Source organism: Homo sapiens, chromosome 1, assembly GCF_000001405.40.
Source record: "Homo sapiens chromosome 1, GRCh38.p14 Primary Assembly".
NCBI lineage: Eukaryota > Metazoa > Chordata > Mammalia > Primates > Hominidae > Homo > Homo sapiens.
In genome coordinates this window covers 35,987,630-36,006,494 of record NC_000001.11, presented here as the reverse complement: position 1 = coordinate 36,006,494, position 18,865 = coordinate 35,987,630, and the positions used below count along the sequence as shown (strand labels likewise).

Sequence of the window (18,865 nt, the reverse complement as noted above, 5' to 3'; positions counted from 1 at the left end):
ATTAAAAAAATATTAATAAGGTTCTCCAAGCCTATAAAGCTTTTACTAAAAATAAGTTGGCACATATATAGATATATATATATGGTACTTATACATTTTCCCAGTATTTCTGCTGTTTAACTATCACGAGTTACTGGATAAAGAAACCACTCCAAAGTTATTATTAAATATTTAGGTACAAGTTCAACTGGAAAAAGATGAATATACTAAGAAAATCTATTCTTTATTGCACACTTTGTGTCATTATTTAACAGCTAGCATCAAATTCTTCATACCAGCTAAAAAACCCATAGATACAGGAGAGAACACAAAACTCTTATTCTCTTGGGTTACTGTAGTAGGAATACATGATGTACTTTAAAGAGCCTTCTTTAAAAAAAAAAAAAGCCCTATTTTACTTGGAATGAAGAAAAAAATAATCAGTTTGTCAATTGGATCCCACCCAGATTTTTCCACCCCCAAACTAGGATCATAAATACCTAAGAATTAGACCAAAATCTAGGTGCTAGCAAAAAGTTGAAATTTTTAAAAAGTGGACTAGATAATTCTCTGCCCAGGTCCCTCCCCAAACCCTCCATCCAACCAAAAAAACACTTTTGGCTTTAATAAATATTTAACCTATAAACTTGGCTTTACCTTCACTATAACATCAACTTTATTATGCTTTCTAGTCATTTTTTCAGTCATTTCTTTGGGCCCCTGAGCAGTTGAAGTTAAGATCGAGTCCATGCTCTTCGGGCAGCAGTTGAATCCTTGTTCTGTACATCTTGTATTTTCTGTGATAGAGTGGTGATATGAGTTGATTGCATAGTTACCGCAAAATAATGTAAGTGACTTCATGATATCAGAGGTGGTAACTAAGCAGCAACTCCACTGGAAACCATGGCATTTAGATGATCACATATTAATGGTAGGTAATGCACTAACCTCCTGACAATGCTAGCTGTGCAGTTAATACAGATCATGAAAGGACAATGGTATGGTTGCAAAACAGTTACATAAACAGTTTCTTACTTTGGCATTTAAATAACTTGAGATAAATGGATGCTTATTTTCAAAGCAGGGTGGATCTTCCTTTTAATATTTTATTACAATGACTATCTCTCTCTTGGTTACTGAATGGCGAAGAATGAATTATTACTGGAGCAAGCAGAATGTATTAAACTACTCTAATTGATTTGGGGGAACTGAAAGATGTTCAGTGAACAAACTTAAATGCTTCATTCAAACCACAAGCTGAAAATTATCTGCAATAAATAGGTAAAATCTTAAAAACAACATAATTATTTCTGGCTATTTAAGATCTAACAATATAAATAGAACTTATCCTATTCATTCTGATTAGGGAGTATCAGACTAAATACATATAAAATACAGATTTCAGAACACTATTAAAATTATTTTTATTTTTATTTTTGGGCAGCCACATAGAGATGAATTTATCTGAGTTAAATGTACATATGATGCAACAGCACTGTACAAATTTTAGTTACTAAGTATAATAGATAAGATCAACAGTCAACTCTATAACTTATATTAAATAACTATAATTCTAGAACAACACATGAAACAGGCTAGCCCCACATTTATACGTTTTTAAAGGACTAAAATAAATAACTATCATTTCAGAAAAATAAGGAAGTCATTATATTAGAATATGTTCTAGTTCTATAATTCTAGTTATAAAATATAACAAATATTTTTGGAGTGAGCTTCCTACTTTTAACAGTATTACTAAAGCATTTTCCCATGAGACATTCTTATCCCTTCAGCTAGTAAGGGAAAGTATTAACAAAAAATTAGCTGGTAGTGATACTAACTCCATTACTTGGCATTTCTTTCAAATACCACCTAAGATGTTATAGTAATGAATTTAATGTAATATTTTATTTTATAATTGATGTATAGTTTTACTGGTTATGTTACATAGATTTTAATTATATAAGAAAACATTTTAATAAAAGGTTGTTATATCCATGCATTTTATAGTTAAGTTGTGCTAAATGCTAATTAATTCACCTTTTATCTCTTTGGTGAATTTTACCCGATGAGAATCAGTCAGAGGTCTTGGTTGCTCATCAATATTATGAATATCAAGAACTTCACACATGAACTGAATTACAGGTTGTGCTTTGTAGAAGGCAGTGGCAGAAACTAAGAAGAAAAACACAAACAATACAAATTAATGTTTCCCTAAAAAATTCAGAAACTTCATCTTAGGCTCCAGGATAACTATCTATAGGGTTAAAATGATCCTTTATGCACATTTATGTACATACAAATTTCCAAAATTAAGCAGTTTTAATTTGACCTCTGAGGCACAAATACAAAATGGCCAAATACTACAGTTTTTATAATCTATCTCTTTCATCGTAAGTAACTGATTCATTCCATTCTCTATAGAGAAGTGTTCTGGGTGAGACAAGGCTTGAAAGAGACAAAGAAGGCTGGAGCCCCGTGGCAGATGAGATGGTTAGGTATTATTTCTTTTTTTCTTTTTTTAATAGAAACAAGGTCTCACTATATTGCTCAGGCTGGTTTCCAACTCCTGAGCTCAAGCAATCCTCCCGCCTCAGCCTCCCAAAGTGGTAGGATTATAGGTGTTAGCCACCATGCCTGGCCAGTATTATTTCTTAAACAAGGCTTTCTATGCCACCCTAGACTATCTATTCTAAAGAGAGTTTTCCCTGTCTTGTAATGATTTGAAAAAACAGTGGTATTAGTCATTGGTGCTAAATCTAAGCTACAAATATACATATATATATATATATATATATATATATATTTTTTTTTTTTTTTTGAGACAGACTTTCACTCTTGTTTCCCAGTCTAGAGTGCAATGGCACAATCTTGGCTCACTGTAATCTCCGCCTCCCGGGTTCAAGCGATTCTCCTGCCTCAGCCTCTCAAGTAGCTGGGACTACAGGCATGCACCACCACGTCCGACCAATATAGCACTTCTAGTAGAGACGGGGTTTCTCCGTGTTGGTCAGGCTGGTCTTGAACTCCTGACCTCAGGTGATCCGCCTGCCTCAGCCTCCCAAAGTGCTGGGATTACAGGCATGAGCCACTGTGCTCAGTCTACAGATAGTAATATTTAGGGTTATCTGTCCAATATTATTGAGCAGTGGGTGGTTTTTTAACAGTCAACCACTATGATTTCTTAACCATGGGTTTTGGAACTAGAAGAGTTTCACCAATGGTTAGCAGATCACCATCACTCATTTCTCAGACACATACTTATTAATGGCTATTATGTGTTATATAGGCACTGGGGATACAACAAAAAGTAAAACCATAAGACAGTAAGTTGCATGTTATCATGTCATTTTTCTACTCCAAAAAAAAAAAAATGCCCACTGTCTGTTCAGCTAAGTGTAAACTTTATTTATTTATTTATCTATTTATCTATTTATTTATTTTTTAGACGGAGTCTCACTCTGTCGTCCAGGCTGGAGTGCAATGGCGCGATCTCGGCTCACTGCAACCTCCCCCTCCCAGGTTCAAGCAATTCTCCTGCCTCAGCCTCCTGAGTAGCTGGGACTACAGGTGCCCACCACCACACCCGGCTAATTTTTGTATTTTTAGTAGAGACAAGGTTTTACCACGTTGGCCAGGCTGGATGGCTCATGCCTGTAATCCCAGCACTTTGGGAGGCCGAGGCGGGAGGATCACGAGGTCAGGAGCGTAAACTTTTTATGTGGGGATCTTTCTCTTGCTTTCCTTGGTTTAGCATTAAATGTCCTCCATAAAATGTTCCTTACCTCTGGGAGGATATTTTCAAAGCTTTAACAGTAGTTATCTCTGGATAAATGTGGGTGGTGAGGCTACTGTGGGTATTTTATTTTCTTCAAAATATTTTTGGCCGGGCACGGTGGCTCACACCTGTAATCCCAGCACTTTGGGAGGCCGAGGCGGGTGGACTGCCTGAGCTCAGGAGTTCAAAACCAGCCTGGGCAACATGGTGAAACCCCATCTCTACTGAAAATACAAAAAAATTAGCCAGGCGTGGTGGCATGTGCCTGTAATCCCAGCTACTCAGGAGGCTGAGGCATGAGAATCGCTTGAACCTGGGAGGCCGAGGTTGCAGTGAGCCGAGATCACGCCACTGCACTCCACCCTGGGTGACAGAGTGAGATTCTGTCTCAAAAAAAAAAAAAAAAAAAAAAATTATCTTGGCTGGGTACAGTGGCTCACAAGTGTAATCCCAGCAGTTTGGGAGCCCAAGGTGCATTGATCACTTGAAATTAGTTCAAGATCAGCCTGGCCAACATGGTGAAACCCCATCTCTACTAAAAAATACAAAAATTAGCTGTGTGTGGTGGCGCATGCCTGTAATCCCAGCTACTCAGAAGGCTAAGGCCAGAGAATCGCCTGAACCCATGAGGCGAAGGTTGCAGTGAGCTGAGATTGCGCCACTACACTCCAGCCTGGGTGACAGAGCAAGACATTTCGTCTCAAAAAAAAATTTTTTTTAACATATTTTTTACTACGAGAAAACATTTTTATCTTTATAACTTCATTTTTTGGTACTGAGTGCATATTGTTTTTTACTTCTTTATTACACAAATAATACATGAATAAAGTTTCATCATAAAAACTCAAACAATACAGAGATATACAAAGTAAAGACCCTCTCCAGTCTGAACCTCCTCGCTCCAAATAGCTCTAATAAGTAACCATTGTTAGTACTTAGGTATGTATACATCCTCTCCTTTTAATATGCACTTAGATTTGTCAGAAAGGTGATTAAAAAAACAAAAATACTAATTTACAAAGATAAAAATGTAGGAATAACTTTTTAGATGAAATCAGATAACTGTTCTATGACTCATTTTATCATGATTTTAAAAATTAACAATACATCTTAGAGATCTTTTCATGTCAGTACACCCTTTAATTGCTGCACACTATGTTACAGTGTGGGTGCATGATAATTAAGTAAATAGGTACTCCCTTCCCCTCTTAATAAAAAAGAACTCAAATGGTAAAACATTAGAAACACTATACTGTGCCTTGTATGTACTAATATGAAACTATATCATTCCTTCTCATAGCTGCAAGATATCCCACTGTATGAATGTACTTCATGTCCTCTGAGGGAGAGTTATGGGTTGTTTTTTACTATTACAAACAATATTCCAATGAATGTTCCTGTGCACGTGTGTGTGTTTGTGTACGTATGTGTATGTATTTATTTTTTTGGTATACATCCATGAGTACTTATTTTTTATTTTTATTTATTTATTCATTTATTTTTGAGACAGAGTCTCCCTCTGTCACCCAGGCTGGAGTGTGGTGGTGTGATCTCGGCTCACTGCAACCTCTGCCTCCCAGGTTCAGACAATTCTCGTGCCTCAGCCTTCCAAGAGCTGGAATTACAGGCACGTGCCACCACACCCGGCTAATTTTTTTATTTTTAGTGGAGACGGGGTTTCACCGTGTTGGCCAGGCTGGTCTCAAACTCCTGGCCTCAACTGATCCACCCGCCTCGGCCTCCCAAAGTGCTGGGATTACAGGCGTGAGCCACCACGCCTGGCCCATGAGTATTTCTGTGGAAAAGATAAGAGAAATCAATATTCACTTCTAAACTTCCATCCAAATAAACTTTAGAAATATTTCCAGTTTCTAACTAATTAAAAAAAAAAGAGAGACTGTTAAGATTGTAACAGTATTCTGGGTATCTTACTCAAATCCATAATAGTTTTAAATATATATATATATTATATTCTTCTACTGAAAAATGTTGGAATATTATTGTGCACAAAAAGGAAGGCTGACAGGATACATATCAAATTTAAGTTATATGTTTATAATGTTTAAGTTCTTAAGCACATATTGATCTGGGTTAATTTTTAAAAAGTAAATGAAAGATAAATAGAAAGTGAATAATATGCTTATTTTGCCTTTCTTTTAATCCTACAGGTAAAATTTATTCACTGGATTGCTATAACACCAGCCTTCACAACTAATATTTCAGATACCACAAAGTTGTAATTACTTGTAACTACTAAACAAACATGCTAGAGTTATTTCTCTTGTTTAATCCTCTTCTACTATTTTTCCCTGTTTATTCCACTACACTCTGAATCATTTTACTATTGACCATCTTCTCTACAGGAAGGTGGGCATTTGAGGTAAAAATTAAATTTAGTAATAAAAAACTCAGAAAGAATGGGTTGAAATCAGCAAATATAGTTTTGAATTAGGAATATGTTTCAATGATCAAATGTTTGCTTTTCTGTCCCTTGGATGAATTCTTAATATTTAATAAACCTACATATATATGTAGTTTATTCCTTCCTTCCCTTTCACAAATTAGCTATTACTGAAAAATGTTTACATTTAACATTTTAAAAATCTATCAATAAAATATACTACATTAACATGTTACAGGAAATAAGCATATAATCATTTCCATAGATGGCAGTCCCCAAAAAGCAAGCATTTGATAAAATTCAGCACTGAAGCAAATACTCTTATTGTACCAGGACGAGAAGGGAACTTCCCTAATCTGGTAAAAGTTATTTACCAAAACTCTATGGTATTACAACCTGGCAGATACATAAAAAAGAAAAAAAAAACTCCATGGTAAATTCAACTTAATTTTATAGGAAGTTCTAGCTAGCATAGCAAAGCAAATTAGGAGAATAAAAAGTTAAAAGGTTGGAAAGAGAGAAACAAAATTATTACTCTTCACAACATTAATTGTGTGCATAGAAAACCCAATAAAAATCTATGGACAAATTACAGAATTAATAATTCAGCAATGTTACTAGATTTAAGGTCTACATATAAAAATAAATTATATTCTTATACACTAGCAACCTACTTAAAATGTAATTTAAACATATACCACTTATGATCACAACAAAAAACATAAGGCATTTGAGATGAAATCTAAACAAAAGGTGTATAAGACCTATGGAAGTAATAAGTATCTCTTTTATTGAAAGATACTATAGAAGATCAAATAAACAGAGTTATAATACACCCTATTCATGTAAATTATCCCCAGATTAATCTTCAATCGCAATTTCAGTCAAAATATCAACAGGATGTAATCCTCTCTCCCCCTGGAACTTAAGATACTATAATTAACATGAAAGCACAATGAAACAAGAATAGCCACAACAAGTCTTTATTTTTTTTTAGATGGAGTCTTGCTCTGTTGGCCAGGCTGCTGGAGTGCAGTGGCGTAATCTCGGCTAACTGCAACCTCTGTCTCCTGGGTTCAAACTATTCTCCTGCCTCAGCCTCCCGAGTAGCTGGGATTACACGCTCAGCTAATTTTTTTGTATTTTTAGTAGAGACGGAGTTCACCATGTTGGCCAGGCTGGTCTCAAACTCCTGACCTCAGGTGATCCACCTGCTTTGGCCTCCCAAAGTGCTGGGATTACAGGCATGAGCCACCGTGCCCAGCCAACAATTCTTAAGAATAAGGTCTGCTCTAGCATTCATCAAGATTTGTTATAATCCTATTCAAATAAAGAGACTGTGGGGCTAGACACACAGAACAGGCTTGAAAGCCTACCTCATACTATATACATAAACAAATTCCTATTCAGAGAACTAAATATGAAAAGGAAAACTAACATTTATTGAAAAATGTAGAATATCTTTATGGTCTTAAAGGTAAGGAAGAATTTCTTCAGCACAATACAAAAACTATAAACCATGAAAACTATAAGAAAAAAGACACCATAAATAAAGAAATAAAGCTAAAGATTGATAGAGGATATACACAATATGTTTAACAAATGCTTAGTATCTAGAATATGTATAGAGTTCCTACAAATCAAAATAAAACAATAAAAAGTGGCAAAGGACATGAGCAAACGTTTCATAGAAGACAAAGAGAAATATATACTAAAACAATATCAACCTATCATTTTATACCAATCAAGATTAGAAAAAACTTTAAGGGTAACAAGCTGAAAATAAGCCAATGGAAGAATGAAAGCTCTCAGACTGTAGGAATATAAACTGATAAAGTCACTTAGGAAAGGAAGTGGAATATATAATAAATTGGAAGCTGTATATAATTTTCAACCCAGCACTTCTGTTATAGTGGAATATATACTCTAGAGAAATTCCCTGTCTCCAAAAGGAGACATGAATAAGAATGCTCATATCCTTATTGTAGCATTATTTGTAAGAGTAAAAAGAATGGAAACAACCTAAATATGTGTCAACATATTTGGATATTTTGTATTATAAACTGGATTGATAAATTGTACTATACTCATATAATTAAAATTAATGAGCAGCCACTAGAATTCAGATAAATAAAACAGAAAGGAGGGGAGTTTAGGGGAAAATGTATCTAGATAACTATAACTAGGGAAAAGAAATTTACCAAAATAGACTAATGTTCAAAATATCAGTGGGATAGTATTTCAATTCATAAACATAGTATATCTCTGAATGTATTAAGGTCATTTAAATTCCACTAAGGTTTTATAATATACTCTAAAACTCATATATCTTTTATTAGATTTATTTATAATTGACAAACAAATTTCTGTTTCTTACTTTGGGAGGCCAAGGCGGGTGGATCACCTGAGGTCAGGAGTTCGAGACCAGCCTGGCCAACATGGTGAAACCCTGTCTCTACTAAAAACACAAAAATTAGCTGGGCGTGGTGGCAGGCGCGTATAATCCTGGATACTCGGGAGGCTGAGGCAGGAGAATTACTTGAACACAGGAGGAGGAGGTTGCATTGAGCCGAGATCACGCCACTGCACTCCAGCCTGGGCAACAGATGGAGACTACGTCTCAAATAAACCCCAGAGAATACAGATGCTCCTTGACTTAAAACGGGATTACATCCTAATAAACACATCATAATTTGAAAATATCGTTAAGGCGAAAATGCTTTTAATACATCTAAACTACTCAACACAATAGGTAGCTTGGCCTACCTTAAATGTGCTCAGAACACTTATATGAGCCTACGGTTGGACAAAATCATCTGGCAACACAGTACACTGTACCCTTGTGATCACATGGCTGACTAGGAGCTGTGGTTTGCTGCTGCTGCACAACATTTTGAGAGAATATTGTACTATAAATACAATTTCTACTGAAGACATACTACTTTTGCACCATCATAAAGTTGAAAAATCGGAAGTCAAACCATTCTAAGTTGAGGACTGGGTTTAACTTTAAAATAAACTGCCAAACTATTTTTCTTTCTTTCTTTCTTTTTTTGCTGAGATGGAGTCTCACTTTGTCACCCAGGCTGGAGTGCAGTGGCATGATCTCAGTTCACTCCAACCTCCACCTCCCAGGTTCCAGCGATTCTCCCACCTCAGCCTCCCAAGTAGCTGGGATTACAGGCACATGTCACCACACCCGTCTAATTTTTTCTATTTTTAGTAGAGATAGGTTTTCACCATGTTGGCCAAGCTAGTCTTGAACTCCTGACCTCAAGCGATCTGCCTGTCTAGGCACCCCAAAGTGCTGAGATCACAGGCGAGAGCCACTGCGTCTGGCCGCCAAACTATTTTTCAAAGTACTTGTACCATTTTACACTCCTAAATTTCTAGTTGCTCCAAATCTTTGTCAACATTTGTTATTTTCAGTCTTTTAAATTTAGTCAATCTAGTACGTATGGGTGGTATCTCACTGTGGTTCTTTTTGAATTTCCTGAACGGCCAACGATGTTCTGCATCTTCTCAAGGGCTCACTGGCCATTCACATATAATTTTTTTTTTTTTTTTGAGATGGAGTTTTGCTCGTCGCCCAGGCTGGAGTGCAACGGTGCAATCTTGGCTCACTGCAACCTCTGCTGCCTGGGTTCAAGCAATTCTCCTGCCTCAGCTTCCTGAGTAGCTGGGACTATAGGTGACCACCACCACACCTGCCTAATTTTTGTACTTTTAGTAGAGATGGGGTTTCGCCATGTTGGTTGGGCTGGTCTCGAACTCCTGACATCAGGTGATCTGCCCGCCTCGGCCTCCCAAAGTGCTGGGATTACAGGTGTGAGCCACTGTGCCCGACCACACATATTCTTTTGTGAAGTATGTGATTTTTACTACTACTTTTTTTCTATTTCTTACTGAGTTATGTACAATTTTCATATATTCTGGACCTAAGCGTTGTTCTGTTACGTTTTGCAAATGTGTTTTCTCAGCGGTAGCTTGTGTTTTCATTTTTTTTTTTTTTTAAGAGTCAGAGTCTTGCTCTGTTGCCCTGGCAGAAGTACAGTGGTGATAATAATTACTGCAACCTCTAACTCCTGGGCTCAAGTAATCTTCTCACCTCATCCTCCTAAGAAGCTGGGAATAGAGGCATGCACCACCACGCTCAGCTAATTAAAAAAATTTTTTTACTATGTTGCCCAGGCTGGTCTCAAACACCTGGCCTCAAGCGATTCTCTTGCCTAGGCCTCCCAAAGTGTTGGGATTATAGGTGTGAGCCAGTGCGCCTGGCTGCCTTGTCATTTTCTTAATGGTGTTCTCAAAAGGAGAAGCTTTTAATTGCAATGGTTTTCAATTTATTAACAAATCCTAGCCGGGTGCAGTGGCTTATGCCTGTAATCCCAGCACTTTGGGAGGCCTAGGTGGGTGCATCACTTGAGGTCAGGGAGTTCGAGACCAGCCTGGCCAACATGGTAAAACCTCGTCTCTACTAAAACTACAAAAATTACCCAGGCGTGGTGGCATGCACCTGTGGTCCCAGCTACTCAGGAGGCTGAGGTGGGGGAATCACTTGGACTCGGGAGGCAGAGGTTGCAGTGAGCCAAGTTCAAGCCACTGCACTCCAGTCCGGGTGATAGGGAGATCCTGTCTCGAAAGAAGAAAAAAATCTTTGCCTCGTCCAAGATCATGAATATTTTCCCCATTTTGTCTTGGAAATTTACCAGTTTTAATGTTTTATCCTGGGATAAACTCTGAATTAAATTTTCTGTGTGCTGTTAAGTAGAGGATAATTTTTTTAATACAAATACCCAGTTGTTACATCATTTACTGAGAAGACTAACCTTTTTGGCATTCTATTATGTTGGGCCCTTTGCCAAAAATCAACCAGCTACATTAGTGGGTCTATTCTGGTAGCTATTCTGTAACCTGACAATCTTTACCCCAGTATCACTGTTTTGATTTCAGTAGTTTTATAGCACGTCTTGAACACAGGTAGTATAAATCCACCAACTTCGTTCTTCTTTAAAAGATTTTTTGGCTCTTCAAAATAGAAATGTTAAGTTCTTTGTACCAGCATATAAATCTTAGAATCAGCTTGACAATTTTATATAATATATATATATATATATATATATATATTTTTTTTTTTAGACAGTGTCTTGCTCTGTTGCCCAGGCTGGAGTGCAGTGGTGATACCTCGGCTCACTGCAACCTCTGCTTCCCGGGTTCAAGCACTTCTCCTGCCTCAGCCTCCCGAGTAGCCGGGACCACAGGCACACGCCACCATGCCCGGCTAATTTTTTTTGTATTTTAGTAGAGATAGGGTTTCACCGTGTTGCCCAGGCTGGTCGCAAACTCCTGAGCTCAGGCAATCCACCCACCTTGGCCTCCCAAAGTAAGCCTGATGGGATTTCTATTGTATTGAGTTTATAGATCAATTTGGGGAGAATGAAATTCTTAACAATTTGAGACTTCTGGTCCAAGAACACCTCTTTACCTTCCTTGTCTTTCTTAGTAATGCTTTGTAGCTTTCAGCGTGGGGGCCATGCACATCTTTATATTTATTCCTAAAAATTATGTTTTATGTTATGAATGGCACTTAAATTTTTTTTCATTTCAATTGTTGAATGCTGGTATTATTTGTTTATGCAGTTAGCATCCTGTGACCTCACTAAATTCATGTACTAATTCTAATAATTTTAATGGGGTTTGTTTTGGTAGATTCTTTAATGTAGAGTATTATGTCTTCTACAAACAGAGTTTTATTTCTTCCTTTACAAATTATGCCTTTTATTTCCTTTTCTTGCTTTGCCACTGCCTGGGACCTCCAGTATGATTACCAAATAATGAGAGCAAGCATCCTTGCCTTGTTCTTGAATTTAGGGCAAAAGTGTACAATCTTTTCACCACAGAAGTATGATGATGCCTGTATGCTTTTCTAAGTGTTTTTAATTAGCTGAAGAAATTTCCTTTTATTGCTAGTTTGTTGTAAATTTTTATCATGAGAATGTTTAAAATGTGTCAATTTTCCTGTTGAGAGGATTATATTGTCTTTGTCAGGGGTTAGTACCAGGTTTACCAGCCTCAAAAAATGAACTGGGGCCGGGCATGGTGGCTTATGGCTATAATCCCAGTGTTTTGGGAGGCCCAGATGGGAGAATTGCTTGAGCCCAGGAGTTCAAGACCAGCCTGAGCAGCATAGCTCGGGAGGTTGAGGCTGCAGTGAGCCATGATCACACTACTGCATTCCAGCCTGGGTGACAGAGTAAGAACCTGACTCAAAAAAAAAAAAAAAAAAAAAAAAAATCTGGGCGCAGTGGCTCACGCATGTAATCCCAGCACTTTGGGAGGTTGAGGTGGGCAGATCATAAGGTCAGGAGTTTGAGACACGCCTGGCCAACATGGTGAAACCCTGTCTCTACTAAAAACAAAAATTAGCCGGGCATGGTGGTGCATGCCTGTAGACCCAGCTACTTGGGAGGCTGAGGCAGGACAATGGCTTGAACCTGAGAGGTGGAGGTTGCAGTGAGCAGAGATCTCACCATTGCACTCCAGCCTGGGCGACAGAGCAAGACTCTGTCTCCAAAAAAAAAAAAAAAAAAAAAAAAAAGCAGGGGGTGGTGGTTGGGGAAGCCTTTTCTATTTTCTGAAAGAATTTGTGAAAGATTGATGTTATTTTTCCTTACATTATAGAAAAAACTCACTAGTGAAATCATTTGGGACTGGAGTTTTGTGAGGAGGAATTGTGAATTCAATTTCTTTGATATAGGGCTATTCAGGCTTCTTTTTCGAGTCAATTTTGGTAAAGGTGTGGCTTGTCAAGGAATTTGTTTCACCTATCAAATTAATTGGCATAAAGTTGTTCATACCATTCCCTTATTAATCTTTCAATTCTGAAGAATTTTTAGTGATACCCTCACTTCATTCCTGATACTGGTAATCTGCTTTTTCCTAATTTCCTGATTAGTCTTGCTAGGAGTTTATTAATCCTACTTATTTTTTTTAAATAACCAACAGTTGGCTTCATTGATATTCTGTACAGTTTTTTAATTAAATTTTGCTCTAATCTTTATTATTTCTTACTTTCTGCTTACTTTGGATTTAATATGCTCTTCTATTTCTAGCTTAAGTCAGAAACTGTGGTAGCCAGCCTTTGAGATGGTCCCCAATGAGTCTTGACATATGGGATTCACAGCTTTGTACAGTCCCTTCCCATACTGAACATTAAGTAATCTGAGTAACCAATAGGGTATTATAAAAATAAAAGAATGTAACTTTCAATGCTAGGTCTTAATGTTATTATATCCTCTGCCTTGCTCTCTCATGAATTCCTGCTCTGGAGGAAGCCAGCCACAATGTTGTGAGGATACTTACCCAGCCTTATAGAGAGGTCCACATGGCAAGGAACTGAGGCCTCCAGAACTAAGTTGTTACCAATTAAGTGAGTCCTACTGGAAGTGAATCCCCCCAGGCCCTGTAAGGACTTGAGATGAATGCAGCCTCATGAACTAGAACCATCGAAGTCACTCCTAACTCATAGAAAATGTGTGAGATAGTTTATTGTTTTGAGTCACTACGTTTTGGAATAATTTGATATGCAGTGGTAGATAACTAACACAGACATAAAATAAGACTTAACCATCCAAACATTTATTAAGTATATGCTATGTCACAGATTCCTTTATGGGTTGAAATTTAGAGATAAACCAGACAAAGCCCCTGCCCTTTAATAACAGATTCTGGGTTAAGATGGCAGATTAACAATGAGCATCTATTATCATTCTTCATTTCATTCCTTTCTCAAACTCCACTGTAACTATGAATTTAAAAAAAAATTTAAGGTACAAACCTAGAAGGAGAACAGAACAGGGGATATATCAACATTCTGAAAGATGAAAAGCAAGTGAGCAAGTTGGTGATAAAAGGATGGGAGTGATGCAGAAAAATAAAGAGAAAAGCAGTCTGAGAAGCAGGTAGAGTCCTATATCCTCTGTCTAGCTCACATTGATGAACAGCTGCCTCTTGTTCATCCTTGCACAGATCTGCAGGCATACTAACTGGAAGAGATACAACAGAGGCTCCCTGGAAGAAGGATGCCAGACACAGTTGAGAGCACAAGACTGTACCAAAAACAAGAGATTAAATGACTTTAACATATTAAATGCTGAATACAGAAGTTCCCCCAGCTAGAACTCCCAACTAGGCTTCCAGAATGCAGGCAACCACACTGCTATCCTTTAGGCAGGAGTTTAGAAGACTCACCTTTGGACAACCTGACCAGCCAAGAGAAGAGACCTAAGGATCCTAACATTGTAGATTCCCCAACCTAAGCCCTCTGAAATCACCCTATGATGAGGCTCAGAGTCAACAAACCCTATCCATGCCTTCAGAGCATTCAGTGTTTTTAGATTAACACTGAATAGACAGTAATCAAGAATACTAGATATTGGATGAACGCCTCCAAAATGGAAGACAGAGATCAAAACAAACAAAAAGGAATTTGAGGGAAGCATAAGCATGTACAGGAAGAACTCCAAAATAAATTATGCTCAGAGAGCTAAGAGAGGATACTGCATCTGTGAAACAAGAATAGCATGCTATGAAAGATAACACTTAGGAAATAAAACGTGTGAATTTTATGGTATGTAAATTAAACGTCAATACAGCTATTTTAAAAATGGAGTGATGCTTTCGAATTTCTGAAGAAAAATTATTTCCACCACAGAAAGAGCTAAACTATCATTTTAAGTTTGTTGATAAATACATTTTCTAATATATACATATATTATATATTTTATATATATATATATATAAAATTTGCTCCCCAGGTACCCTATTCTCATGAAGATTCTGAAAATTTTTTAAAAAGAAATAAGATTATAGAACAAAGACAAAAGGAATTCCCAGGGCAACAGTGAAGTGTGATCTCAAGAAGACAGCTGCGCACCAAACACAAAGGGCATAACTCAACCAGACTGAAACAGTGAGAATCAAGAGACAGATCTCATGAAGACTGTCACTGAGATTCCTGCAGCCATTACTGTTTTTGTTTTTGGAGATGGAGTCTCACTCTGTCGCCCAAGCTGGGTGCAGTGGCGCGATCTTGGCTCACTGCAACCTCTGCCTCCTGGGTTCTCCTGTCTCAGCCTCCCGAGTAGCTGGGACTACAGATGCACACCACCATGCCCGGCTAATTTTTTGTATTTTAGTAGAGACAGGGTTTCACTGTGTTGGCCAGGCTGGTCTTGAACTCCTGAGCTCAGGCAATCCGCCCACCTCGGCCTCCCATAAGTGGTAGAATTACAGGCGTGAGCCACCGTGCCCAGCCTTATACTGTTTTTCTAATGTGAAGATAGCCCGCCTGGGTAAGCCTGATCCAGATATCTTTAGTTGGTCTTGTTTGAACTCATGTTGCTAAAAGTTCTTGCCCAGATGCCTGAATCAGCTGATAACTCTCATTCCACCCGAAAGAAAAGTTCTGCTTTGATCTACCTCTGAAAGGACTAATTTGAATATTATAAAATCAAATTATTTCTCAATCTTAGCAATCTTATACCTGAACTCAAGACAAATACATGAAGTAAGCAACACTAATACTGTGATTAATAAATTATTTACTAGAATTTTTTATTTACTAGAAATTTTTATTTACTAGAAATGTTTTCCTTGCAAAAGCAGCAGTGTGAACTTCTAACTACTTTGCAGAAATAAAATTATTAAATTCTACAACCATTTACATATTCTGCCTACTTTTTACTAAAAGCAAAATGGGATAGTGAATGTTTTACGGACAGCTACATTTTACTGAAAAGTAACAGTAAACAAAAATAAAATTTTTTGTTTTTGAGATGGAGTCTCTGTCGCCCAGACTGGAATGCAGTGGTGCAATCTTGGCTCACTGCAAGCTCCGCCTCCCGGGTTCACGCCATTCTCCTGCCTCAGCCTCCCGAGTAGCTGGGACTACAGGTGCCTGCCACCACGCCCAGCTAATTTTTTGTATTTTTAGTAGAGACGGGGTTTCACTGTGTTAGCCAGGATGGTCTTGATCTCCTGACCTCGTGATCCACCCCCCTCGGCCTCCCAAAGTGCTGGGATTACAGGCGTGAGCCACCGTGCCTGGCCACAAAAATAAATTTAACTAATGTGTCTAAGATCTGAGATTTGCCTGCCAGGGATCTTGCTTCTTAAGGGATGCAGTACAGAGCTATGTTAAAGGTATAAGCACTGGAGTCAGAAGAGTTGAACTTCTCCCGCTTTAAATATAAACTATGTGACTTTCTGTCTCTAAACTTCAGTTGATGATACTACCAACTTATACAACTGTGGTGGAATTTACATGCAACACTGTAGTATTAATAATTAATATAAAATGCTTAGCATTCTATCTGGTACATAATAAGAGGTAAATAACATCTTAAGGGAGATATAACTAACAAACATCAGATTCACTATGATGGTCTTTTTATTTTTTTTTTGAGACAGGGTCTTGTTCTGTCACCCAGGCTGGAGTATAGTGGTGAGATCATGGCTCACTGGAACCTCCACCTCCCGGCTCAAGTGATTCTCCCACCTCAACCTCCTGAGTGGCCGGGATTGCAAGCTCATGCTATCACGCCTGGCTAATTTTTATATTTTTTGTAGAGACAGGGTTTCACCATCTTGCCCAGGCTGGTCTCAAACTCCTGGACTCAAGCAATACACCCACCTCAACCTCCCAAAAATGCTGGGATTACAGGTGTAAGCTACCATGCCCAGCCACTATGATGGTCTTAAAATCTGTGAATTACAATAATAAAATGCAAGTTGCAAATGGGCTGGCCTCAAAACAAGCTAAAGAAATATTCTTCATTTCATCAAATCTAAGATGCCATTGATGGTAAGCTGCACCAGTATTTTATGTATTCTTTAAAAAGAAACCTGCCAACTGAACTGTGACAAACCATCAATTGTAAGATATCTCCCAATTTCAGAGATGTTGAAATGTAAACAAAAAATTTTGAGTCTTAGATTGGTAAAATACAGCAAGTTTAATTACACAGTTGAAAGTTAGGCTATTAAATGCCAATAGAACAATCATTCTCAAGACCAATCACACAATTAGAGAGAATTGCTCCCTTTCTTAGAGTACTCTTCCATGCTTATTTCCATCACCAATTTCGCCTAGCTCCCATCTGTCATTTCCTGAGGGAAACATCCCTCAACCAGTGAGACTACAATGGATCCCTCCCTTTTATGCTTCCATTGCACTTGGTATTTTCCTTTACAGTACTTATTATAGTGCTCAATTACCAGTCTTCTCCAGCTGATTTCAAGTTCAATAAAGGCTGTTTAGTTCAGTGCATATACCACGTACAAGGCTTGCAAAATCAAAATCACGCAAAAGCAAAAAGGAAATGTAAGCAAGTAAGATGGTCAGTGCAATATTTCTCATTATTTTTCATAGCATTTTATTGGCAATTAATAAACCCTTGTTGCAGCCTTTATGGAAAACAGTATGGAGGTTCCTCAAAAAATTAAAAATAGAACTACTACATGATCTAGCAATCCCACTTCAGGGACTACATGCAAAGTAAATAAAATCACTATCTCAAGGAGACCCCTGCACTCCCATGTTCACTGCAGCATTATTCACAACAGCCAAGATATGGAAACAACCTAAGCGACCATCGACAGACAAATGGATAAAAAGAATGTGGTATATACATAAAATGGAATATTATTTAGCCTTTAAAAGAAGGAAGTCTTGTCATTTGTGACAACATGGATGAACCTGGAGGATATTATGTTAAATAAAATAAGCAAGACACAGAAAGACAAATACTGTATGATCTCACATGTGGAATCTAAGAAAGCTCAACTCACAGAAACAGAGGTTAGAATGGTAGTTACCCAGGGCTGAGGGCTGAGGCAAATGGTGAGATGTTGGTCAAAGCATAGAAACTTTCAGTTATAAGATGAGTAAGTTCTGGAGACCTAATGTACTGCATGGTGACTATAATTATTATTGTATACTTGAAATACGCTGAGAGTAAATTTCATGTTCTTATGTCTCTCACATACCTATGAGGTGATTGTTATATTCATTACCTTGATTGTGGTAATCATTTCACAATGCATATGTATTATCAAAAATCACACTGTATACCTCAAATACATGTAACTTTTACTTGTTAATCATACCTGAATACATTAGCTGGGGAGAAAATAAACCAACTTCAAATGTTAGGCTTTATTTCCATTTCATTAAGTTACCATAGGTCTTTTTCTTTTTTTTCTTCTTTGAGACAGAGTCTTGCTCTGTCACCCAGGCTGGAGTACAGTGGCAAGATCTCGGCTCACTGCAACCTCCGCCTCCCGGGTTCAAGCGATTCTCCTGCCTTAGCCTCCTGAGTAGCTGGGATTACAGGTGTGCGCCACCATGCCCAGCTGATTTTTGTATTTTTAGTAGAGACGGGGTTTCACCATGTTGGTCAGGCTGGTCTCGAACTCCTGACCTCGTGATCTGCCCACCTAGGCCTTCCAAAGTGCTGGGATTACAGGTGTGAGCTACCACGCCTGGCCCATAGGTCTTTTTTTTTTTTTAATCAATCTTATTTTTTTGCCTCCCAATGGCACGTTATACTTTGCTCACATAAACATACTCTCACATTTTTCTTAAATTTTTTTGGTCTATCTCTTCTCCCAACCCAGGCACCTTATTCCATTTCTCTTTTTTCTTC

The 18,865-nt window shown here is 37.8% G+C and overlaps 1 protein-coding gene across 9 annotated transcripts in view; it reads right to left on the bottom strand.

Moving 5' to 3' along the window:
- The window catches only part of AGO3 (argonaute RISC catalytic component 3), a 141,783-nt gene that overhangs the window by 66,006 nt on the left and 56,912 nt on the right, over window positions 1-18,865 (bottom strand). For 8 of the 9 annotated variants that reach the window (XM_017000523.3, XM_005270575.5, NM_024852.4 and 5 more), the window contains one exon: window positions 2,020-2,154. In XM_017000523.3, coding sequence (XP_016856012.1) covers window positions 2,020-2,154 — 135 coding nt within the window. The other variant, XM_005270576.5, reaches the window with a different exon arrangement.